General features: G+C 40.1%; 1 protein-coding gene across 3 annotated transcripts in view, besides 1 other annotated feature; it reads left to right on the top strand.

Annotated features, from left to right (window-relative positions):
• Window positions 1–20969, top strand: part of E2F7 (E2F transcription factor 7) — a 44319-nt gene extending 23350 nt beyond the window's left edge. For all 3 annotated transcript variants that reach the window (XM_011537966.3, NM_203394.3, XM_011537969.3), the window contains 6 exons: window positions 8178–8363; window positions 9098–9170; window positions 11888–12389; window positions 14082–14337; window positions 16238–16662; window positions 18035–20969. In XM_011537966.3, the coding sequence (XP_011536268.1) occupies window positions 8178–8363; window positions 9098–9170; window positions 11888–12389; window positions 14082–14337; window positions 16238–16662; window positions 18035–18205 (1613 nt within the window). In that variant the 3' untranslated portion in view covers window positions 18206–20969. The remainder of the gene's footprint in view (window positions 1–8177; window positions 8364–9097; window positions 9171–11887; window positions 12390–14081; window positions 14338–16237; window positions 16663–18034) is intronic.
• Window positions 8969–10168: an enhancer, noted in NCBI's record as "P300/CBP strongly-dependent group 1 enhancer chr12:77425832-77427031 (GRCh37/hg19 assembly coordinates)". NCBI's record gives its function as "activates an origin of replication core promoter dependent on BRD2, BRD4, P300/CBP, MED14 and CDK7 cofactors, with strong dependence on P300/CBP, by STARR-seq in HCT116 cells {active_cell/tissue: HCT116}" and the evidence as "EXISTENCE:reporter gene assay evidence [ECO:0000049][PMID:35650434]".
• Window positions 20970–25782: the final 4813 nt, after the last annotated feature.

Genomic DNA, 25782 nt, shown 5'->3' with positions numbered 1-25782 from the left:
GCCAATGACTATATTAAGGGCCCTGAGAGATTGAAGATGTGGGTAACACAGTCCCTACCTGCATGAAGCATACAACTTTGCCTTTTTCTCCTTTCTGCCTCTGATTTCTCCCGTTCTTTTCACCTGTGAAGCCCTCTTCTTAACATGAAAATATTCTCAACCTTCAAGATCTGGCTCAAATGTCAACTCCTCTATGAAGTTTTCCTGATAGCCCAGAGCAGAGTGTCTCATCTGAACAACTGCAATTGAGTATTGTGCTGTTTGTGCTGGGTGAGGTAGATATGGTGGTGTCGTCCCTGCCCTACACATTTGAGACCAGACATTATCTTTATTTATCCTTGATTACCCCATAGTATCCAGAACAGTGCCTTACTCACTTTAGTTGGTTAATGAGCTTCTATAATTAGGCATATAGTTAGCATACATTTGAAAGTTAGGAGAGCAATTACATGCTAGACGGGGTGGTACTGGCTCTGTAGGCATTCAGAGAGGATACAGATTAAGTTCTGATGGGCTGTTAGATTTTGGAGGCATGAAGAGAACATGGGATAGAAAATAATGAGATACAATGTGATCAGTGGGGACTGCATTTTTGGAAGGCCTCAAAAATTGAGGCAAGAAATTTGGACTAGATGTGATAGACAGAATTAACCAAGAGTCTTCAGACAATGATTAAAAGAGAGGAAGGACTCAAAGGTGGTCGTACCATTGAAGAAAATAAGATAGCTGGGCTGGGCACAGTGGCTCACACCTGTAATCCCAGCACTTTGGGAGGCCACGGCAGGCAGATCACCTGAGGTCAGGAGTTCAAGACCAGCCTGACCAATATGATGAAACCCCATCTCTACTAAAAATAAAAAATTAGCCAGGCATGGTGGCATGCACCTGTAATCCCAGCTACTCAGGAGACTGAGACAGGAGAATCACTTGAACCAGGGAGGCGGAGGTTGCAGTGAGCCGAGATCACGCCATTGCACTCCAGCCTGGGCAACAAGAGTGAAACTCCGTCTCAAAAAAGAAGAAAGTAAGATAGCTGGAAGATGAGCGGCTGTTGAGAAGTCGAGGAGTTCGTGTATTTGCACGGAGGGACAGAACTGGGAGAACTCTGATTTGACATGAGAGAAAGACTTTGGAGGCAAGTCAGGAATATTAAATTGAACGTATTTTCTCTGCCCTCCAGAAACCTGATCTTTCTGTATTCCCTAGTTTCATTACTGATAACATCAAGTTTCCTTTGATTCCTTGAGCCACTCTCCTTCACCCCTTGGCTAGCAATTCCTCACAAATTTCATAAATGTCTTTCTCCTCTTCTTTCCTACCAGCAGGGTACAGTGTATTACGAATAGTGTTTTCTTTTTAACAGCTTTATCAAGGCATCATTGATATGCAATAAATGGCAGGAAGTTAAAGTTACAATTCGATAAGTTTTTCATAGGTATGTACCTGTGAAATCATCAAGAAAATGAACATATCCATTACCTTCAAAAGCCTCCTCCTGCCCCCTTTGTAATTCCTCCCTCCTGGTCCCCACTCCCATCCCCAGACAACCACTGACCTGCTTTCTGTCATTCTGGGTTTGTTTGTATTTTCTATAATTTTTTGGTAAGTGAATCATGTATGGTTGATCTTCGTTATTCACAGATTTCATATTTGCAAATCTGTCTACTTACTAAAATGTACTTTTAACTCCAAAGTCGGTACTCAGGGTGTTTCCACAGTCAGTTGTGGTCATGCACAGCTTGGTGGAGAATTTGGGTCTCCCAATGCACTTGTTCCCAGATGAATCAGGCGGTACTCTGCCTTCTTGTTCCAGCTCTCATACCATAAGCCAGCATTCTGTTTGCAGTCTTTTTAGTGCCACTTTTTCACATTTTTGTGCTTTTTGGCTCCCAAATATTGCTGTCTAGTGTTTCTTAGCACAAGAAAGCTGCATTGTGCCTTATGGAGAATATACATGTGTTATATAAGCGTTGATCAGGCATGAGTTACAGTACTGTTGGCCAAGTTCAATGTTAATAAATCAACAACAAATATTAAACAAGGTTTCTTTAAAAAGAAACACACATAAACAAGGTCATATATTGATCAGCTTATGAAAATATTGTAACCAGAGGCTCACAGGAACCTAACCCTTTATGTCCCCTAGAAGCAATGGGTCAGTATTTGCTAATTCAGTGTTTGCAGTGACTTTATAGAACATAACTACTGTGAATAATGAGAATCAACTATAACCTGTACTCTTTTGGTCCGGCTCCTTTCACTCAGCATAATTATTTTGAGATTGATACATATTGTAGCATGTTTCAGTAATTTATTTTTATTACTGAAGAGGCTATTATAAATAAAGCTCCTGTGATTATTTATGTACATGTCTTTGTATGGGCATATGTTTTCATTTCTCTTGGGTAAATACCTAGGAATGGAAAGGCTGCATCGTATGGTAGGTGGATGTTTGAAATTTTTGAGAAACTTCCAAACTGTTTTCCAAAGCAGTTATAACATTTTACATTCCTACCAACAGTATATGAGAGTTCTAGTTCAACCATATCTTGCCAAAACTTGATATGGTCAGTCTTTTTAATTTTAGCCATCCTGATAGGTGTGTAGTGGTATCTCATTTTGGTTTTAATTTGCATTTCTCTAGTGATTAATGATGTTAAACATCTGTTTTGCCATCTGTTTATCTTCCTTGGTGAAGTGTGTGCTCAGTTTTTTTGTCCATTTGTTGCTATTGGGTTGTTTGCTTTCTTATTACTGAATTGTGAGAGTTGTATATACATTCTGCATACAAGTCTTTTTATCAGATACATGATTTCCAAATATTTCCTCTCCATCTGTGGCTTTGTCTTTTCATTTTCTTAACAGTGTCTTTTGAAAATCAGAAGATCTTAATCTTCAGGAAGTCCACTAATGTATTAGTTTTTATTAATTTTTTCTTTAGTGGGACATGCTTTCAGTTTTTATCTAAGAAATCTTTGCCTAACACAAGATCACACATGTGGTGTGAGGTATGGATCAATGGGGTGCTTTTCTGAGGGGATGGGAGGTTGCATATGGATATCCAGTTGTACCAGCACCATTTGTTGAAAATATTATCCTTTCTCTAGTAAATTTCTTTTGTGCTTTTATTAAAAACAAATTGACGACATATATGTATGGTAATGTTTCTGGACTTTCCAAACTGCTGCATTGATCTGTTTGTCTATTTGGTGTCATGCTAATACTGGCCTCTTAAAACAAGCTGGGAAGTAGTTACTCCTCTTCAGTTTTCTGGAAGAGTTTGTGTAGAATTGTTACTATTTTTTCCTTAAACGTTTGGAAGAATTTATCAGTGAAGAATTGATAAATAAATAATTTTCCAGTGAAGTCATTTGGGTCTGGTTTTTATCTGTAGTTAAAAACTTTCTATGTGAGAAGGTTTTTAACTACAGATTACAATTTTTTAATAGCTATAGAGCTATTCAGATTATCTCTTTATAGCTCCTTTAACTTTGAGTTAACTTTGAGTTCTTATTCTAGTTTCTCAAGGTGGAAGCTGAAATCATTAATTTGAGACCTTTCTTCTCTTCCAATAAGCATTTAGTGCTATAAATTTTCCTCTCAGTACTGCTTTAGCTGTATCTAACAAATGTCAATATGTGTGTTTTCATTGTCTTCCAATTCAAAATACTTTGTATTTTCCCTTTTGATGTCTTCTTTGGCCCACAAATTATTTAGACATGTAACATATAGTTTCTAAATATTCTGGGATTTTCCACATACCTTTCTCTTAGGGATTTTTAATTTCATTTAATGTAACCAGAGAATATACTTTGTATAACTTGAATCTTTTAAATTTATTGAGACTTGTTTTATGGTACAGATAGAGTCCATCTTGGTAAATATACACAAATATACAGAGTATATATTCTGTTGTTTGGTGGAACGTTCTATAAATGTCCAGTTCTTTTATATTCTTACTGATTTTATGTTTACCTGTTCTAGCAATTATTGATAGATGGATATTGAAATCTTGATTATAGTTGCAGATTTGTCTGTTTCTTGTTGCAGTTCTTTAAAGTTTTGTGGAATGGATTTTGAAGCTCTATCATGAACTCTGTCTGCATAAATATTTAGGATCACTGTCTTCTTGATGAACTGACCCTTTTATCATTATAAAATGACCCTCTTTATTCCTGGAGATAATTCTTTGCTCTGAAATCTACTTTGTCTCATAGTGATATAGTCACTTCAGCTTTCTTTTTATTAGTTAGCATAATATATATTGTTTATCCTTTAAATAATTTCTGTCTCTATTTAATGTGAGTGTCTGGTGGGCAGTATATAGTTGAATTTTTTTAAATCTAATCTGACCATTTATGCTTTTCAGTTGGGTTATTTAATGACCATTTATACTTAATATGATTCTTGATCTACTTGGATTTTAATCTGTCATCTTGCTATTTGTGTTCTGTTTGTCCCATTTGCTTATTGTTTCTTTTTCCTCTTTTTCTTTCTTTTGGATTTATAAGTATTTCTTATGCTTCCATTTTATCTCCTTTGTTGGTTTCTTGGCTATAATTCTTTGTTGTGTTATGTTAATGGTTCCTTTAGGGTTTATAGTATACAGTTTTAATTTGTCCCAGTCTACTTTCAAGTGATAGTATACTACATGTATTGTACAAGAATCTTGCAATAACTTGCTTTCATTTCTCCCTGCCTGGCCTTTGTGCCATTGTTGTCAAACATTTTACTGCTATATATGTTACAAACCCCATAGTGTGTTACTGGGGTTTTTTTGTTTGTTTTTTTGGTAGAGACAGGGTTTCACTATGTTGCCCAGGCTGGTCTCGAATTCCTGAGCTCAAGTGATCCACCCGCCTCAGCCTTCCAAAGTGTTAGGATTAGGGGTGTGAACTACTATGCCTGGCCCACAGTTAATTACCTTTTGAAGAAACTTTAATAAGAAAATTGTCTAACCCTAACCCATGTTGTTACCATTTCCAGTGCTTATCATTTTTTTGTAAATGTAAGTTTCCATCTAATATTTTTTTCTGCCTGATGAACTTTAACATTTCTTTTAGTGCAAGCCTGCCAATGATGAATTCTTCTAGCTGTTGTATGTCTGAGAATGTCTTTATTGTGCCCTTGCTTTTGAAAAACATTTTTGCTGGGTAAAGAATTCTAGGTTGGGCCGGGCGCGGTGGCTCACGCCTGTAATCCCAGCACTTTGGGAGGCCGAGGCGGGTGGATCACGAGGTCAGGAGATTGAGACCATCCTGGCTAACACGGTGAAACCCCATCTCTACTAAAAATACAAAAAATTAGCTGATTAGCCAGGCGTGGTGGCGGGCGCCTGTAGTCCCAGCTACTCAGGAGGCTGAGGCAGGAGAATGGCATGAACCCGGGAGGCGCAGCTTGCAGTGAGCCGAGATCGCGCCACTGCACTCCAGCCTGGGCGACAGAGCGAGACTCTGTCTCAAAAAAAAAAAAAAATGGAGAATTCTAGGTTGACGCCAGGTGGTATCGCCCATGCCTGTAGTCCCAACTACTTGGGAGGAAGGTGGTGGGAGGATTGTTTGAGCCCAGGAGTTCGAGCCCAGCCTAGACAATACAGTAAGACCCCTGTCTCAAATAAATAAAAGAATTTTGCGTTGAAGATTTTTTTCCTTTTGTTCCTTTTTTTAAATTTATTTTATTTTTTTTGGAGACAAAGGTCTTACTCTGTCACCCAAACTGGAGTGCAGTGGCGCGATGGCATGATCATGGCTCACTGCAATCTCAAACTCCTGGGCTCAGGCAATCATCCCACCTCAGCCTCCCAAAGTGCTGGGATTACAGGTGTGAGCCCACACACTCAGCCTTTTATTAAAGAAGTTGCTCCACTGTTTTCTAGCCTGCATAGTTTCTGGCAGGGAATCAACCATCATCCTATTCTTTATATGTAACATGGCATTTTTCCCTGGTTGCTTTTAAGTTTCTCTCTATGATTGGTTTTAAGCGATTTGATGATGTATGACTTGGTGTCCTTTTCTTCATGTTTTGTGTACTTGGTTTTGTTGCGTTTCTTGGATCTTTGGGTTTAAAGTTTTCATCAAATTTGGCAAATTTTCGGCCATTACTTAATCAAGTATTTTTCCTGTCCCCTCCTATTTTTACAGATTCCACTTATGCTTGCTTTTGGTTACCTAAAGTTGTCCCACAGTTTGCTTTGTTCATTTCTGTCTTTTTTCTCGTTTCATTTATTTATTCATTTATTCATATTCTTTATTTCTACAATTTCTAATCTGCCATTAAATGTATACACTGTATTTTTCATCCCCCCACTGTATTTTTTTTAATCTCTAGAAGTTTGATTTGAGCCTTTATATTTTTGATGTCTCTAAGACTTAACATATCCAGTCTTTCCCCTAGTGTCTTGAATTTATGGTATGCAATACTAGTATATGTTTTAGTGTGCTGGTCTACTTCTCTATCATCTGCGTCACTTCTGGGTCCATTTCAATTGATTTTTCTCCTCATTGTGGGTAATATTTTCAGTTGTATACCAGACACTGAGAATTATACATTATTAGGTGATAGACATTTCTGTATTCCTAAAAATGTTCTTGAGCTTTGCTCTGGGATGTGGTGAAGTTACATGGAAACAGTGATGCTTTTGGGTCTTGCTTTTAAGTTTGGCTTAGCAAGACTCTATCAGCTTTTAGTCTTTAGTACGTTTTCCCCATTACTGGGGCAACACCCTTTTTAGTACACTAACAAATGCCTCCTGAATTAGGAGGTTTTTCTACTGTAGCCATTGGCAACAGGCACTTTTCCCAGTCCTATATGAGCTGCATTGTACCCTCTAGTGCTTTTGAATGGTCCTTTCCCTGGCCTTGGGTATCTTTCTCACATGCATCTGTACTCCACTGAAGGTTCAGTTTGGACCTTTGCAAATCCCCAGCATTCTCTTTCTGTATAGCTCCCCTCTCCAGCATTCTGCCCTGCAAACCCTAGCTGCCTTGACTTTCCAGGACTCCCAGCTCTATCCTCAACTTAGGGAGACCTACAGTCTCTGTCTAGGTCCCCCTCCCTTCATCCCAACCTAGAAACATTCTCCAGGCAGTAAGCAAAAATCATTATAGAGCTCACCCTATTTGATTCCTGTCTCACAGAGATCACTGTCCTTCATGTCCTGATGTCCAAATGTGTTGAGAGCCACAGTTTTATGCATTATGTCCAATATTTTGTTTCAAGAAGGAGGCAGATATGGCCCCTATTACTGACTTGACCTATTTTCTTTTTGATTTCGTAATTTCTGATTTTTCTAATTGGGCTTTTGTTGTAAGAAAAAGAAAACTGTGAAGGTGACTTTTTGTTGTTGTTTTTCATTTTTAAGTTGCATTAATGTGAAAGCGCATGTTTTAGAAAATATAAGTCCAGCTGGGCCTTTCAGTTTATTAAATCAATCCTCTAACTAAAATGTGCATGCTTTGAGCTTAGAAAAACATCAGCACAAATGAATATGGTAGAGATGACTGTCTGTACAACAAGGATAGCTGCCTCAGTCTATATAGAAAGTTGTGTCTTAACCCCACATATACTCCGTTAAACACAAACTGTGTCTCCAGGGCCTAACCTTTTATTATCTCACTGTTCTGCAGCATTTCAACCATGAGGTTTCTGCTGACCTTATTCCTTTGGTCACGTAGTAACTGAGCCTCCTACTGCATAAGAAAGAAATAATAAAGCATCACAGAAAATAGAGATTCTCCTATTCATTGCTGTAGGTCTGTGGCATAGGAAGCTGATCTCAATTAATCTTGAAAGTGAATCTCAAAATATGCATGTTGGGCTGAGCATGGTCGGGCTTTCCTTTGATACTCTCTGCTCAAATAGAGCATCTAAAATGTGAGGCTCATTCTAATTCGGGTTGAAGAACATCTTGCTCTACTTCTGTTGCAATTCAGATAATTTTAGAATATATATGGATTCAATCTCATTTTATAGTCATCCACTAACTTAAAAAAAAAAGTACATTGAAAGAAATTGGGGTTTGAGACAAGGCTCATAAAATTCCTTTGATTGTCTTAGTTTTTGATTTATAGGGTGATAGCTCCATTACAATTATAGGTTCAAAGCCATCTCTTAAATAGACGAAAATTATCCTGAATTACAGCTGTATAACAACACTACCAATTCTCTCGTTTATGTAGATGAAGAACTGGTGGATGTTTCTGCATCTGTCTTACCAGAATTGAAAAGAGAAACATATGGCCAGATTCAAGTCTGTGCAAAACAGAAGCTGGCTCGCCATGGTTCTTTTAACACAGTTCAGGCTTCTGAGAGGATCCAGAGGAAAGTGAACTCAGAACCGAGCAGCCCGTACAGAGAAGAACAAGGTATCTGCCCTTGCATAATCTATGGAGTCCATCAGTTGCCATGTAGCTGTAGCCCATGCCAGTGCAGCACCCACGTGCTGGCGTTTTAAAACAAACTGACTCTCAGCCCTGGCTGTTTTTTCCAGTGGTCTACTTTTTACTTAGCTGAAGTGAAACAATTATTGGAAGCAAAGGAGATGCTGATATCACAGTCTATGAACATGACCCCTTGCCTAAAATTGATCCTAGTCACCTTGTAGACCAATTGGTTTGGCATAGTTGACCCTATTTGATGTATCTCAGAAATTCATTAGACTTAAAGCAATGCTTGTTTTAAATACTTCTTTTTTCTTTTTCTTTTTCTTTTGAGAGAAAGGTCACTCTGTCACCCAGGCTGGAGTACAGTGGCATGATCACGGCTCACTGCAGCCTTGACCTCTCAGACTTAAAGAGTCCTCCCACCTCAGCCTCCCAAGTAGCTGGGACCACAGGCGTGCATCACCATGCCTGGCTAATTTTTCGTTTTTTGTAGAGACGGGGTCTCCCTGTGTTGCCCAGGCTTATTTTGAATTCTTAATGAGACCTGAATTCATGAACAGCTAGCTACTGAAAATTTCTCTTTGAATCAAAACCATAACAGATTTGAGTAATCTTTGAGCTGAGAATAATGAATTCTCAGCTAGATAATTCTCAGTATATAGTTGGTATGTATAAGTCTCTTGCTATATTTGTTAAGCCTTCATCTTCCTTTTCAGGATCAGGTGGCTACTCTTTAGAAATTGGAAGCCTGGCAGCTGTCTATAGACAGAAAATAGAAGACAATTCACAGTAAGTAGTCTATAAAAGCTCAGAGTGTATTCTTTTCTATCTCCTAGTGTTAACTTTGACTAAATTGCAGTGCCACCCATCAAAAGAAAAAATTTAGGTCAGCCGTTTATTTGTTAGGAATTGGTAAGTTTTCTCTTTGTGCCCTACACTGTGCAGGAAGTAGCATCAGGGATACAAAAGTATGAAAAATGTATCCTGTAAGCTATGATGGCTTATAGGAACAAGATAAAAAGACCAACACGGAAAAGAGACAATTCATAATTAACATGACCCTGAGAAATGAAGTATCAGAGTTCCATGAATCACTTCATCATTATCATAGTTGGTTTTGCCACTAACTACCAGGTACCGTTCCAGGAGCCTTAGTGTATATTGACTCATCTGATCATAAGAGCAATCCTTTGAGGTTTTACAGAGAGGTATTACCCTCATTTTACAGAGAGGAAGCTGAAGTGCAAAAAGGTTATGTAACTTGCCCAGTCACATTGCTAATAGGTGACAAAGCTGGGATTCATACCCAGGCTGTCTGACTTAAATTTGGGGCCCAATTTTGAAAGAAATCATGTGTCACCAGAGAAAGCAGAAGAAACGCTAAACAGAGTAATTAGAAAAGTGTTTAACAACAGATGTGGGAAGAAGCAGATTACAAGGCAGGGCCAGGGAGCAGAAGATACCAAAGCCTGGCTCGTTTTGCTGTCATGGTTTGTCCAAACAGGACAGGAAAAGGAAAAATCATTCAGCAAAAGAGGTTAGGTGTTGGAGGCAAGTAGGTCAAGTTGGCAAAAAGCTTTGAAAGCCAGAGAAGAGTTGGATTCATCAGGGAAACCATAAAGAGCTATTGGAGGTTCACTGATGAAGATCATCCTGGCTACTTTTTGCAGGTGGGATTAGGAGTAGAGAAAGACAGGCCACAGAACAGAGCATTTGTAGTCGTTCTGGTCTGCTGTAGGGCAGAGCTGAGCTGTGCTCACCAGAGGTGGAAAGAAAGGGAAACCAGTGTGAGACAGTGAGTTGGCAGGGCTCGCTAAAGGAGACAGGCATCAGAAAGAATGTCTGCATGTCAGGTGATAGTGATGTCATTGGTGGAGATGGAGAAGTTGAAGGTGGATGGCTGGGTGGAGGGATGGTGGGTGATATACCCAGGGTGGGCATGTTCAGTTTCACAGAGCTGAGCAATACCCATTACTCAACCAGAGGCAGCTGATTGGAGAGATGACTCATCTCTGCGGCCCAGGGTACTGCATTTTATTCTCAGCAGCGCAGTAGGCAGTGAGATGGTAGGCAAAACAGGTCTTCCATGATTCCATCAGAAAGACGGAAAGAAATCCTGGTCCTCTGTTTACTGTTTTTTTTGTTGTGTGTTTTTATTTTGTTTTGTTTTGTTTTCTGCTTTTTGCTTTTTCTTTTTGGAGACAGAGTCTCACTCTGTTGCGCAGGCTGGGGTGCAGTGGCATGATCTCAGCTCACTGCAACCTCCGCCTCCCGGGTTCAAGCGATTCTTGTGCCTCAGCCTCCAGAGTAGCTGCGATTACAGGCGTGTGCCACCATGCCCAGCTAATTTTTGTATTTTTAGTAGACACGGGGTTTCGCCATGTTAGCCAGGCTGGTCTTGAACTCCTGACTTCAGGTTATCCACCTGTCTTAGCCTCCCAAAGTGCTGGGATTACAGGCGTGAGCCACCACGCCTGGCCCTCTGTTCCTATTTCTTAAAGGATCGTTCTTCTCTATTCCTAAAAATATACTAAGAACATAAACATGGTTTTAAATATTTGGAAATTTTTCCAAACAAAAGGCCCAAACATTGTTTATATCTTATTTATTTCATTTTCTTATTTTAGAGACAGGGTCACCCAGGCTGGAGTGCAGTGGCGTGATCGTAGCTCACTGCAGCCTCAAACTCCTGGGCTCGAGCAATCCTCCTAGGCCCCCCACAGGAGGCATGAGCCACCCTGCTGGCCTATAAACTTGTACATTTATGGGACTTAATTTTGATTGTGTGCTGCCTAAAATTTTGTTAATAACACCGAGCAGAATGGGACAAGAATGACAGAAAATAATAATTTAGAAGATAAGTTTGTTTCCTCACTGTCCACTTCATTTCTTTCATACTGGATTTGTGAAATGAGACAAATGAGATTAATCTTTTTTTAAATCAAAGTCCAGTCTCTGTTACTCTCCCAGCGTCTCTCACAGTCACTGAGAACATGGGTTTTGCCATCAAACAGATGTGGGCATGGGGCCCAGCTTCTCACTTCAGAGCTGGCTCACCCGAGGCAGGGTGATCAACCTCTGCGCTTCAGTCTTCCTCGCTAGTAAACTGGGGAAATGAGAGTAGCTATTATTATAATAATTGCATAAAATTGTTATACTATTAATGCTAATTATAATAGTATGTACATGCCTGGCAAGGGTGTAAGTGCTTGATAATTGATAACTATCAGATGTGGAAGAGATGAAGGAGGAATGAATGTTCACTCTCACCTGAGATTCCAATGGCTCTTCCCACTTCGGCTCTCCCACCCCATCCTAACCATTTATCCAGGCCATACCTGGGCGTCTAACTCTGGGATGAGCTAACACGTGCTCAGCAAGTGCGCTTTCGTATCTGCCTGAGGAGTATTATCTCATTCTTGATTTGGCATGGCTGTCTTTGGGAAAGTAAAGGGTCAGGAGTTGGTAGAATGTGCTAACTTCGTTACGTTTCTTTTTTATTATAGGGGAAAAGCCTTTGCCAGTAAGAGAGTGGTGCCTCCATCAAGCAGCTTGGACCCTGTTGCTCCTTTCCCTGTCCTCTCTGTTGACCCAGAATATTGTGTTAATCCTTTAGCCCACCCAGTATTTTCTGTTGCTCAGACGGACCTGCAGGCATTCTCCATGCAGAACGGTCTGAATGGACAAGTGGATGTCTCACTTGCTTCTGCAGCCTCTGCTGTGGAGAGCCTGAAGCCAGCACTCCTTGCTGGCCAGCCTCTAGTGTATGTGCCCTCTGCCTCACTGTTCATGCTGTATGGAAGTCTGCAGGAGGGACCAGCGTCAGGGTCAGGGTCAGAGAGGGATGACAGAAGCTCAGAAGCCCCAGCCACAGTAGAGCTGTCATCTGCACCCTCAGCTCAGAAGCGCCTCTGTGAGGAGAGGAAACCTCAGGAGGAGGATGAGCCAGCCACTAAAAGGCAAAGTAGGGAATATGAAGACGGCCCGCTGTCGCTTGTCATGCCCAAGGTAAGGGAGTGCAGGTGGATGTGTCTGGTGACATCCTGTTAGCCCTGAGCTTCTTCCTAATGAAGATACACTGATATTAATAAGCAATGGAGTCTGGAATATGGAGCTGTTTCATGTCACTTGCATAATTAAGCACTGGAGTGGCTCTGCCAAAAATCTTGCCTTAAAATAGTGCATAAGAAAGGTGATTTTTATAAAACTCACACTTTCTATAAAATGCTAAAAAGTATAAAGAAGAGTTACCCAGAATCCCACCACATAGAGGCATCACTATTAACATGTTTATATATTTCCATCCAGTCTTTTTTACATCCTTTTTTTAAAACAAATTAGGATCACTGAAATAAACATCTTAATCCAGGATGCAGCTGAGTTCCAGAGGGAGGAATGTGGGTGCTGTCTGGCTATCAGATCTTATGCTTGGTCACTTCTCTTCAGTGTTCAGTGATCCTGTTTCCCTAGCTTCAAAATGAAAAGAACAAAAGTATGAGCTGTCCACATCTCCTGCTTAGTAGCCATTCAGAGGTTAATGAGATATGACCAGTAAATCCAGAAAGCAGGAGCACTGTCATTACAGTGGTCTGCAGTAGGTAGGCTGGGCACACTTCGTGGAAATCATTACAATAATTAAGAACCTTTCTCTATTTTTTTTCTCTTACCAGAGTGAATTTTTCTCATTTTGTAGATAGCCTGGGGTTGCAGATCAGAAGTGAAAGACTGACTGGCATATGTCTTAGGTAACCAAGACATCTTGGGCCAGCCCACAGTTCTTATAAGACCCGAAAAGACTAGTATCAACACCCTTTATGTGTGTTACTAGCTCAGAAATATATTTCACAGTCTAACCACCATGGCCAGTTTTCCATTGCTAAAATCTCTTGTCATTTCTCTACTTCGAAATCACAATACTATCAATGCACAGGACATGACCTTTTCAGACCATTCCTACAAATACAGTGGAAACCTCTGACATACACAAATCAGTGTGGCACGCAGCTATATGCTACCTTTATGTGTTAGCAATATTAAGAAAGCTGTTATTAAGATTTACTAATCCCAGCCGGGCGCGGTGGCTTATGCCTGTAATCCCAGCACTTTGGAGGCCGAGGCGGGCGGATCACCGGGTCAGGAAATCGAGACCATCCTGGCTGAAACAGTGAAACCCTGTCTCTACTAAAAATACACACAAAACAAAATTAGCTGGGTGTGGTGGCGGGCACCTCTAGTCCCAGCTACTCAGGAGGCTGAGGCAGGAGAATGGTGTGAACCCAGGAGGCAGAGCTTGCAGTGAGCCGAGATCGCGCCACTGCACTCCAGCCTGGGTGACAGAGCGAGACTCTGTCTCAAAAAAAAAAAAGATTTACTAATCCCAGTACTTTGGGAGGCTGAGACGGGCGGATCACCTGAGGTCAGGAGTTCGAGACCAGCTTAGCCAACATGGTGAAACCCCATCTCTACTAAAAATACAAAAATTAGCCAGGCATGGGGGATGCCCCTGTAATCCCAGCTACTCGGGAGGCTGAGGCAGGAGAATCACTTGAACCTTGGAGTCAGAGGTTGCAGTGAGCTGGGATCGTGCCACTGCACTCCAGCTTGGGCAACAGAGTGAGACTCCATCTCAAAAAAAAAAAAGAGAGATTTACTACTGGAATTTTAACTTACTTTCTTGCTTCCTGGTTTGGTTGTGTTTAGAAACCCTCAGATTCCACAGACCTTGCCTCTCCCAAGACTATGGGTAACAGGGCATCTATACCCCTCAAAGACATTCATGTGAATGGCCAACTCCCTGCTGCAGAAGAGATTTCAGGAAAGGCAACAGCAAACTCTCTTGTTTCTTCTGAGTGGGGAAATCCTTCAAGAAATACAGATGTTGAAAAGCCTTCAAAAGAAAATGAAAGCACCAAAGAGCCTTCTTTGCTACAATATCTTTGTGTGCAGTCTCCTGCAGGTAAGGGATGTCATCATGTCTTAGAGTCCCTTGCGGCAGTCAGATCAAGAATTGGATTTTTAAATTTTTGTCTGTGTCACCTGACCCAAAGTGGCTTATTGATGTGCCTGAGTCATTTTACTCTTAGCCCCTTTGTTTTCTCCATCTATAAATGAAGGGAGAAGCTGCTTCTACTTTCACCAACTTCAGGAGTAATGGGAAAATAATTGAGGCAGGTGATTCAAAAAAAATACATTAAACATTATTTGGTGAAAAAGCACGGTAATTCAGCTGAGTCTAGCATTGGTTTAGTATAATAGTGTGAACCTGTTGGCCATTGCATGCAGCTAGTGTTTTGAGGTCTTGAACATCTAGAGGTACTGAGTATATAGAATTGTGGCCAAGTGCCAGGTCTGGAGTAAGAGGGCTTGACATTTAAAACCACTTATTATCTGCGTGAACTTAAGTATTCTTCATCCTCATTGGTTAAACAGCAGTAATAATAGCACCTGCTTCATATGGGTGCTGTGAAAATTGAATTAAATTTAATAAGATAATACATCTAAAGCACTTAGAATAATAGCACCTGGCACTTAGTAAGACTCAATAAATGCTGTTACTATTTTGTATTAAAGCCGAAATACAGATGCCAGATTTTAAAAATATGTACTTTGTACATAAAGCTGCTCTTGATGCAAAGATATCTAAATTGATTTTCCTCAATTCCTTGTTGGCTTAAGCCTAACCTGCTAGAACAGGTTAGGTTAGTATTTATGATTATTCACTTATCTAGAAAAAATTCTTTATTTCTTTAGTAAGTATCTTTTAGTGCTTTCTCTAAGCACTGAGTATTGGGGATACACAAATGAACAAAAATAGATTCAGCCCCTGCTGAATGAAAATTACAGCCCAGCACAGGGGTTTTTAACTTTTTCTGTGCCATGGACCTTTTGGCAGTCTGGTGAAGGCCATGAATTCCTCCTCAGAATGTTACGGATGCATAGAATTAAATACATGGGATTACAAAGGAAGCCAATTATATTGAATGCAACTAGAAAAATCATTTTTAAAATTACTGATAGTAATAAAAAGACCTGGCAGCAAGCCCAATAGTGTCAAAATTTCCAAGTTGTGATGAGCTTAACAGTATATTAAGAAATCTGTAATAGGTTTAATGTAATATGCACATATCTGTACTATTTCCTAATGACAAAGTCAAGGTACTGTTAAAATTGTTAATTTGTTGCCTGTGATAATTGAGGGAAATAAAAATTTTCAGTTAGGAACTTATAAAGATATTTTGGCCAGGCACAGTGGCTCATGCCTGTAATCTCAGCACTTTGGGAGGCTGAGGTAGGAAGATCACTTGAGCCCAGGAGTTTGACACCAGCCGGGCAACATAGGAAGAACCTGTTTCTACAAAAAATAAAAAAAAATTAGCTGGGTGTGGTGGCATGCTTGTGGTCCCAGCTACTCTGCAGACTGAAATGGGACGACTGCTTGAGCCCAGGAGGGTGAGGCTACAGTAAGCCATGATCACACCACTGCACTCCAGCCTGGGTAACAGAGCAAGACTGGGTCTCAAAACAAAACAACAAAAAATAAGTAAATAAATAAAAATAAAGATGTAATCTTTCCCATCTAAGCTTTTTGCCTTCTCAGTTTGGGTTCAGTGGAACTCATGTTAAAAACTTCACAGGCACCAACTAAATGATCACACAGATAAATGTGGGATTACAATCTTGGCCACAGCTGTGAAGGAGCAGGGTGTGGGCTGTTTGGCCTGGTCAGCTGGGGGAAGGTCTCATCATTCATTGATTTATTGTGGACTCCCGTTTGAAAGGGCCATGACAAATGTGAGCTTGAATGATATCCTCATGATGACATATATTGATTTTCGCCTGTTCTGCTTTTCTTTCAGGATTAAATGGTTTCAATGTACTTTTATCTGGCAGTCAAACCCCCCCTACTGTGGGCCCGTCCTCAGGTCAGCTGCCGTCTTTCAGTGTCCCTTGCATGGTCTTACCATCTCCACCTCTGGGCCCTTTTCCTGTTCTCTATTCTCCTGCAATGCCGGGCCCGGTTTCTTCTACTCTTGGTGCTCTCCCAAACACAGGACCTGTGAATTTCAGCTTGCCTGGCCTTGGATCAATAGCCCAGCTTCTCGTCGGCCCCACAGCTGTGGTTAATCCAAAGTCGTCCACACTCCCTTCTGCAGACCCTCAGCTTCAGAGTCAGCCCTCACTAAACCTAAGTCCAGTGATGTCAAGGTCACACAGTGTCGTCCAACAACCTGAGTCCCCCGTTTACGTGGGACATCCAGTCTCAGTAGTAAAATTACATCAGGTGAGGCCTGAAGTTTCCTGAAGACACTGTCACTCTGGGAAGGGGTATGCCTGTGTTTAGCTTTCATTTTAGCCACATGACTGCCGGACAGAGGCACTAGGTCAGGCTCCACCTGGCTTCCGTTGTAGACCTAGAGTTATCTGCTCCTTTTATAAAGCACTGAGACATGAGGTGAGAGATCCTGTGCTTTAAAGACAAAAATGTATGTTTTTAGTTGTCATTCTGTTTCTTATAATTAGAGGGACCTGTTTTAGGCATAGTTCGGGGGGATTTTTGAGGAATGCTAAATATTTTTATTATTTTGGTGATCTTCAAGCTTTTATTTCACTAGGTCAATAAAAGAAGCTACCCTAAATTTTAATTATACAGCTATAAAAACAATCAAAGGAAACAGAAGTCTTGATAGTAACTCAGAGATTCTTAGCCTGTCAGTCATTTCTTAAGATGTGATGTTTAGAGACTGTGTGTGTGTATAATGTCTGTATGTATATACATCTATAATACATAGATGTATATACATCTATACATACGCAGAAAACATACAAATATACACAAAGATACGTTATCAATATAAGTTAATGAGTCTATATTTGTCCCCCAACCTCCATTTGTAGTTCAAGTATTCGTTGAATTCCTATTACACATTAGGTTGTTCACAGTGATTACTTACTCTCCCAGACAAAGAATTATGTTTAGCCAAAAATATTTTAGACAAGTTATTCAGAGGCTCAAAAGTTTGCGAGACATTGAAATGAACATGTTAGGTTTGAAACAAGATGATTATAGCATAACATAGAATTTTCTATCACCATGTGCCAGGCACCGATCTAGGCAGTGAAGATAGAGCAGTGAACCAGTGAACAAGATAATGGTCCCTGCCATTTTATGGCACATTAAGGGAATAAATATTTAACATTTAACATTAGGGGATAAATATTAGCAAGTAAAGAGAAAGAGCCAACACACAAACCATGTTGGCCTCACATGCTCTAAAGTGCTTTACAATTATCTTATTTAATTCCTACAACCTTGTGAAGTCAGTAATTTTACCATCGCCGTTGGATGGAGGAAGAAACTGAGGGACAGGTTGCTTAAGTAACTTGTCCACAGTGGCAGAGCCCAGTCCCTGGCTCCAGATACCAAAGATACCTCTTTGGTAGACTGCCTTTCTGCACCCAAAACAACAAATATGAATTTAATTTTCAGTTGTGGTAAGCAGGGGAGACAAACGGGGTAAGTGTGATAAGAAAGCAAAGAAGAAGGAACGCCTGCCTTGGGATCCTAACACACAGGTCAAGAAAGGGCTGCCTTTCTACTCAGAGATCAGAAACAATATGACTTCACTTCTGTTTTTTCTTTTTTCTTTTTTCAGTCACCAGTTCCAGTGACCCCCAAGAGCATCCAACGCACACATCGTGAGACGTTTTTCAAGACACCCGGCAGCCTTGGAGACCCTGTCCTGAAGAGAAGAGAAAGGAACCAGTCACGAAACACCAGCTCGGCCCAGAGGAGACTAGAAATCCCCAGCGGCGGCGCTGACTAACCTGCCGCTTTGCCAGGTGGGGGTGGGATCAAACGCCCTGAGAGTCCCGGATGTCCGAGGCGGGATGCAAACCATCCCGTCCTGAGCACGGGTCCTTCCTCTCTCTTTCATCCACACTTCTGTTAACTTCCCACCACCATCAATCATCTGATTTCCTGAAAGTAATTAATTGTGCATTTAATACCAGTTAGAGTTCCGACTCTGCATGGTGTCACAGTGAAAGCGCCGACTGACTTATGGTTTTGATTCAAGAATCGTCTTATTCTGGAAGTAGATCTGAATAGGCTACCGGAGCCTTGTTTTTCTAAAGGGGGGCGCTGTCTAGCACTTAACTAGGGTAAGCATTCTTAACATGTATTTCCACTTGCCCTGAGTAAATCTGTGGTGAGAGAAGCTTCCTTTCTGCAGTTTAAAAAAGCTACTGCTTCCTTAGGCTTCATCAGGAAGCCACCTTCAGTTGTGAATCCTATGGTGTTATTTATTTTGTTCCTGAAATGGGATTTAGTGCAAAAAGTTTACAACTACAGTCTTTAACACATTTTTTTCAGGGTATGACGACTTGAATGTTTATACTTTTATTCTATAATTTGCCCTGCACTTATTTTACAACCTAGTAATAATGTGGATAAATGTATCTACATGACACATGTCAAGACCAAAATAACTGTGAATGACACACCTTGCTGTAAATGAACTGTGCTAACCCTGACTGTGGGCTTGAGAACAAAGATGAACTCTAGAACTCTAGCAGCCTAACTGCTGCTTCTCAAATAACTGTGTGAACAGTGAGATATTACTGTTTGTTTCTAAAAATCCTACTGTGCCCAGTTTCCTTCACTACATGCCCTGCATTTTTTATTTAAATATTTAGCTGTAGCGCCATCAGATATGGATGCCTTCTAACAATTGCTGTTTGTAAAATAAATCAGGATGGTAGAAAGTGATTATATGGAAAATTGGAACCTGGATGAGACCTTTTCGTTGAATTCTGAAGAGTAATGATGTGAAAATTGATACAGGGCAAGAGATGATTCTTTTGTTTTTCTTCTACTTCATGTCCAGAAGAGTAAGAGGGAAAATGGACATATGTTTCATATCCAAGGGTATTCAAACTGTAGTTAGTTGGTACCTCTGAAAAATGAGAATGGTGAGCGCACGGGTTGGTTGTTCTAGCATGAATACAATTCTGGAAACTGTTATGCAATTTCCCTTTTTTAACCCACATTACTTTAGGGGTGCATTAAGTCGCCAAACTATACTAGTTCTTTGTATTCCTAGACTTGCTGATATTTACCTCTCTCTTGTCTCTTCAGAGTAAATGGTTCCCTTCTTTCCTTCCTACTTTCCTTCATTCTCTCTTCCTTCCCTCCTTCCTACTTCTTTTCTTCCTTCCTCTTCCTCTCTTAAAACTATCTTAGATGTAGAATCCTGGTGTAGGGTTTTATTTTATTTTTATTTTTTGACCCAATAAAATGTTATATGAAAGAATGAAAATATTAATTTAAGAGACTCTGGGAGTCTGAATAAAGTAGCTTTATATTAACTACAGGATAATATTAGCCTTATTACCCCCACAAGATTTTTTAAAACTTGAGGTAGGTAGCTACATTAAATAAATTTGCTACTTATATAAAAATTTTTATCAACACTAAACTTTTAAAGTTTACAAGTTTTTTTTTTCTTTTTTACAGTCTTCTATAGAGTTAGGTTAAAAATGTGGTTCTAACCATCAACAATTGCATGGTTAAATGACCCTGAACTAAAACTGATGGGTTCCCTATCAAAACAAATAAAAATATACCTTTTTCAGGTTTCAATCTGTGCAGGGTATATGCATGTTAATTCTACCATGCTTAAGAACTTCCACAAAATATTTCATGGAGAGGTCTGCATTTAGACGGAAACAGAAATTGCTTTTCCCCTCACTGTTCCTGAATGCTCTATACTTGTTTTAACATTTTTGCTATCTTTTTTTATTATTCTGATCATGATATGACCATTTAACCTCAGAATTCATAATTCCTGAGGGGTGTTAAGAAGCAGTCCCATTGGTGAGGATATTATGACTTGGTGACCATTCTTAGGAGTAGAAAACCAAGGACAATTGCTTCTGTATTCAGTATCCACTTCTTAATGTGGCTTTATATGTAAAAATAATAATGCAGTGGTTGTTTCTGTCAGGAAAATAAATCTTACAGAACAACTGGTGGAATTGAAGCTGCTGCGCTAGACTTGGATATTTTGGGTAGTGAAGAAGCAATGGCAATCTTGAGTCTATTATTGTATAATTTAGTAAAAGAAAAAAATAATCGTTGGTGGTCCTACTAAGAGAATGCAGCTTTTTTGAGTTGTCACAGAGGCTGTGTGTGCCCTACACTGACCAGGGTTTGTAAAACCCTTTCATTCTGGTACAAGAGTCGGGGGTATAACTTTTATACTTGAATCTACCTACCAAGTTTACATTTCTCAATTCCTTTTTGTAAGGTGCTATTTCTGTATTTAAATAACTTTCTTTTAACGTAAAGCTGCTTTCTGCTTATCTTATTGCACTGCTAGTTGTATGTAGGTATTAATTTTATTGCTGCTTACTGCTTTTGTTTTCTTATTATTTAGCTCTGCTCTTTTTCCTAATGGCTATATTATCTATAGCTATTTACTTGTAACTGTACTACATGTAAACTGATTTTTTGTTCTGATTTTTTTTCTAATATTTTTAGGAAAATATTAAGCTTTATAAAATAGCAATAAAAAATAATTCATTTAAGAAGAGATGGTGGTTGTATTTTTTGGTAGGCTTTTTTTGCATACTGTTTTGAGTAAAACCATTAACAGCTACAACATAGCCAACCAGGCCCTCATAAACACAAGTCAGATCTTTTTGCTGAGATCACCCCGTGGTTGCTAAATGCTGAATCTTAGTGCATCAGAATTACATGGGAGCTTGCGGGGGTTCAGGTACTGTGTAACTGAGCTTCTGATTTCTACTAAGTCCCAATCTCTGTAGGTTTGGAGCTTCCAGATGATTCTGATGTTTATCCAGTCTAGGAATCACAGGTAAATGCAGACCACCCCTCAACTTCTTGTAGCATCCATTAAGTCAAATGCTTCTCATTTTAGCTAATGCCCACCTTTCATTGAGAGCCAATTTCTATTGTTAGCCTTACTTTTAAATTGACCTGCAAGAAGACTTAATCTGATGTCCCCCTAGCTCTTTATATCTCCAGAGTGATCTATGTTGCACTGTTGTCGGACTCCCCTGCTAAATTCTGAGGTGACACTTGGAGATGTTTGAGCTGATTCACGTGGAGAATTCTTCGAAGGCCTCATCTTGGGAGCATTTGCCCGAACTGTGATGCAAGTAATACATATTCTTCCAGCTGCAGCTCTCTCTCTGCTGCTGGTTCTCCTGCCGTCCATTCCACACAGATCCTTGGGCAGGATTTTGAATGGTCCTAGTCTGGCCCTGATGTGGTTAACTGAATCATGGGGGTGGTTTCCCCCATACTGTACTCGTGGTAGAGAATACGTTTCATAAAATCTGATGGTTTTATAAGAGGAAACCCCTTTCACTTGGCTCTCATTCGCTCTCTGGCTGCTGCCATGTAAGATATGCCTTTCGCCTTCTGCCATGGATTGTGAGGCCTCCCCAGCCACGTGGAGCTATGAATCCATTAAACCTCTTTTTTCTTTGTAAATTACCCATTCTCAGGTTCATTTATCAGCAGCATGAGAATGGACTAATACAGGCCCTATCTCCCATCAGCCACATCCAGTGCTCTTTGCCTTGATTCTAGGAGAGAAAACCCAGCCAAGCACACAGGCTTCTCCCTCCACTGCCAAAGCTGCTGGCCCACTCATCTCCCTTTGGTCCCCCAGGTGAGTCAGACACCAGAGCATACCTCTCACTGCACGAAAGAGGTGTGAGAGAAGCATCACCCTGAACACCTCCCCTTATTGGCTCATAAGTGGCAGAAGTGAAGAATTACAGCATAACTTCAAAGAGATCCTCACTAAATCCATTTCTTTTTCCATCCCTTCAACCCTTTCACAGACTTGTAGGTGAACGCATTCAATACCTGGTTCACTAGTTTTGTAAAACTTCCTCCATCAATTCTGCAGAGTCCAACACCTTTGGAATGCAGCATTTCCTGTGACTAGGTGCTGTAGCCAAACTTGCCATTCAATCTCCTGTTACAATAGTTACAAGCTGCCATTGTCCAGGATTTGCAGTTATGGCACTCCATATTTCACACTTATCAGAGTAACTTTTGATAGCTATCAACTTGTTTTTAGTGTGAAAATCAGTTTAATTTGATGTCCTTTTCTACTCGAAAATGCTTCTGAAATTAATAAATCATACCCAAAGCTAAAATTATTTTCTTATTTTCATACTCTTACATCAAAATCCTTTTTTTGTAACTAACCCACTGGTAGTCTCCAATTTGACTGTCTTTTCTGTTAATATAGAAACATCCAGTCTTGCCCCAACTGTGCTCTGAAGAACTCAGTATTCTTAATATTAAGATATTAACTCAGTATTCTTAATATTAAGATATTAACTCAATATTCTTAATAGTAAGAATCAAAAATGGATAATACTGGTAAAACAGTTATTTTTTTTCACTGTAAGATTAGAGACATAAGCTTATAAGAGGAAATATACATACAATGTGTTTTTTTAAACTGGTTTGATTATGAGACCATTTTTTCTTAGACTGTCTTACAAGCAGCAGAAGATACTCCAAGAAGCAAAGAATCCCATTAAAAAACCCTGAAATTACTTACTCTTCACTGAAAAGAAAAACAGTACTAGCTTCTTAACGGCAGAGCCCCTAGGTGATTTATATCTGTATTCACCATACCCACCACAAAATGTGTACTCAATAAAAAACTGGGGGGAAGAATATGGGATGGATTAGTTAGCACAAACATTGTTTTTAAAAAACCTTACAGGGCTCTTTCATTGCACGGTTCCATGTACCTAGCTTGTTTGTTTTGCTTGTTTTTGTTGGTTTGTTTTACTTTAGAATGGCCTCCACAGCATCACCAATGTTCATAAAACAAAATTAATCATGATAATTCTGCATTTAAACTTTTTTTTTTTTTTTTTTGAGCTGGAGTCTCACTCTGTTGCCCAGGTGGGAGCGCAATGGCACAATCTCAGCTCACTGCAGCCACCGCCTCCTGGGTTCAAGCAATTCTCCTGCCTCAGCCTCCTGAGTAGCTGGGACTACAGGTGCCACCGCGCCACCACATCAGGCTAATTTTTGTATTTGTTTTTTTTTTTTTTTTTTGAGACGGAGTCTCGCTCTTTCGCCCAGGCCGGACTGCAGTGGCACTATCTCGGCTCACTGCAAGCTCCGCCTCCCGGGTTCACGCCATTCTCCTGCCTCAGCCTCCCGAGTAGCTGGAACTACAGGCGCCCGCCACCGCACCCAGCTAATTTTTTGTATTTTTAGTAGAGACGGGGTTTCACAGTGTTAGCCAGGATGGTCTCGATCTCCTGACCTCGTGATCTGCCTGCCTTAGTAGAGACGGGGTTTCACCGTGTTGGTCAGGCTGGTCTCAAACTCCTGACCTCATGATCTGCCTGCCTCGGCCTCCTAAAGTGCTGGGATTACAGGCATGAGCCGCTGTGCCTGGCCTCTGCATTTAAACTTTAGTGGCATGCCATGCAGTGTTTTCCTCTTAGGCATGCCTTTCCAGTTCCTACAGAGTCTACCCTGGCTCTCAACTTGCCTGCCAGCTATGCAAGATATTGCCTATTGACCCTCAGCATTGATTTTCACTCCTTTTCTAAGTTTTTTTAATCACAGGGGCAACAAGGCAGGCAACTACATTTCCCACATTCCCTTGCTACAAATGATTTTGTTAGTAAAATAGACTTATGCAAGATTTGGTAGATAGAAAGGAAGCTGAGGCTTCCTTACAGTAGAAGCACTTCATGCACAAATTGCAGCAGGCTCCGTTTTTGCAGCAGCCATACTTTATTCTACTGTCTAGTCCAGGACTGTGTATCAGCTGTGACACTGGTAGTGGTTTTACACTGTTCCCAGCCATCGTGCAGCAGCAGCATTCTCCCCATCCTCTGAGTAGCAGCCACGGTGGCATGATCCAAAAACATTTCACAGCAGCCCCTTAACTTCCACTTTCCCTCCCTTCCTACAATTGTGTAAGCACCTAATTCCCTGTATTAAAACCTTCCTGTTAGAAATACCTAGAGTGTTTTCTAATTTCTACACAGAACCCTGCAGTGCTATCTCCCACCTCTACTCCCTTCTTCTCCCCACTCCTCTGCCCATCCTGTCACTCTACTCTTGGTGGTCACATTCTTCATATTATTTTATTCATCCATGCCTTAGTGCCAGCCATTCCCTTTTTCTAACATACCCTGACATCCCCATTTCTCTTCCTCTGTCAGGCTACCTCATATGCATCTTCCCAAACCCATTTCAAATGCCCATCCCTCAGGAAGAAGTTGTTTTCCTCACCCCATTGTGAGATCCTTCAAGGCAGGAATTAAGTTTTTCTCATCTAGGGCCCAGCATTGGGCTTAGTATATGAACAAATAATCAACCATGCTGAAAAGGATACACAATAGTGCACCTTGACTTATTAGAGTAGCTGTAGTTTAATATGCAATGGCAACATGAAAATAGTACAATAAACAGAAGCTTCTCACCAAAATCAAACATTTTATGCATAGCTCTATTGCACCATAGTCGTGCTAATTATTTATTTACTCAATAAACATTCATGGTTCCTATGCAAACAGAAGTAGCCTTGGTGGGAGGGCATTCTACCCTCTTTTTTTCTCTTTAATAACGGTAGAGAAATCTAGAAACTTAATGCCCAATGGAACTTTAAAAATTGTCTTATTTGTGCACCTATTTTACAAGGAGGAAATCGAAACAAGGAAATTAAGTAACTTGCCCTGCATTAAACAATAATTTAACCACAAAGCTGAGACTAGAGCACAAAACTCCAAATTTCCCAGTCCTGCACCCTCACCCCTATGCTATGCCACTTACCAAGCTAAGACAAATTGTTTTAACAAATGTGATAGGTGTAGTCCATACAAACCCATCAAATAGGTGATCCATACAATTCCCAGATTGTATTAATTTTACAGACCACACACTTGTATGTGCAGGAAGTTGTAATTTTATTATGCAGACAATCCTCTCTTTACATAGTAATGCAAGACCATAAAAACAGTCATGCATACTGAAAGTGTGCAAAGCAATCTTCACATTTGAACTGGTCTTGAAAGATGCCTATTAGATTGCTGGGTGGGAGGCGTTTTAAGCCAAGTGATTGCTGCAAAAGCATGCATGCATGCATAATTGCAATTGTTCTGTGACTTCTTAAATTTTTATCAAGATATTAAAAATTCTCTTACTGTTGGCTATAGAGAAATGAAAAGATATTAAAACTAATATTTAGTATATAATTTATAGTATTAGAGAGATTGAGAATTAAAATGTTTTGTTTCTTTGTAAAAACTTATCAAGAGCAGCTTGAAGAACTCTTACCTTCTCATCAACATATAACTTACGATAAGTACTGAACATCTT

The sequence above is a fragment of the Homo sapiens genome, chromosome 12 (genome assembly GCF_000001405.40).
Source record: "Homo sapiens chromosome 12, GRCh38.p14 Primary Assembly".
Classification (NCBI taxonomy): domain Eukaryota; kingdom Metazoa; phylum Chordata; class Mammalia; order Primates; family Hominidae; genus Homo; species Homo sapiens.
This window is presented reverse-complemented; position numbering and strand designations above follow the sequence as displayed.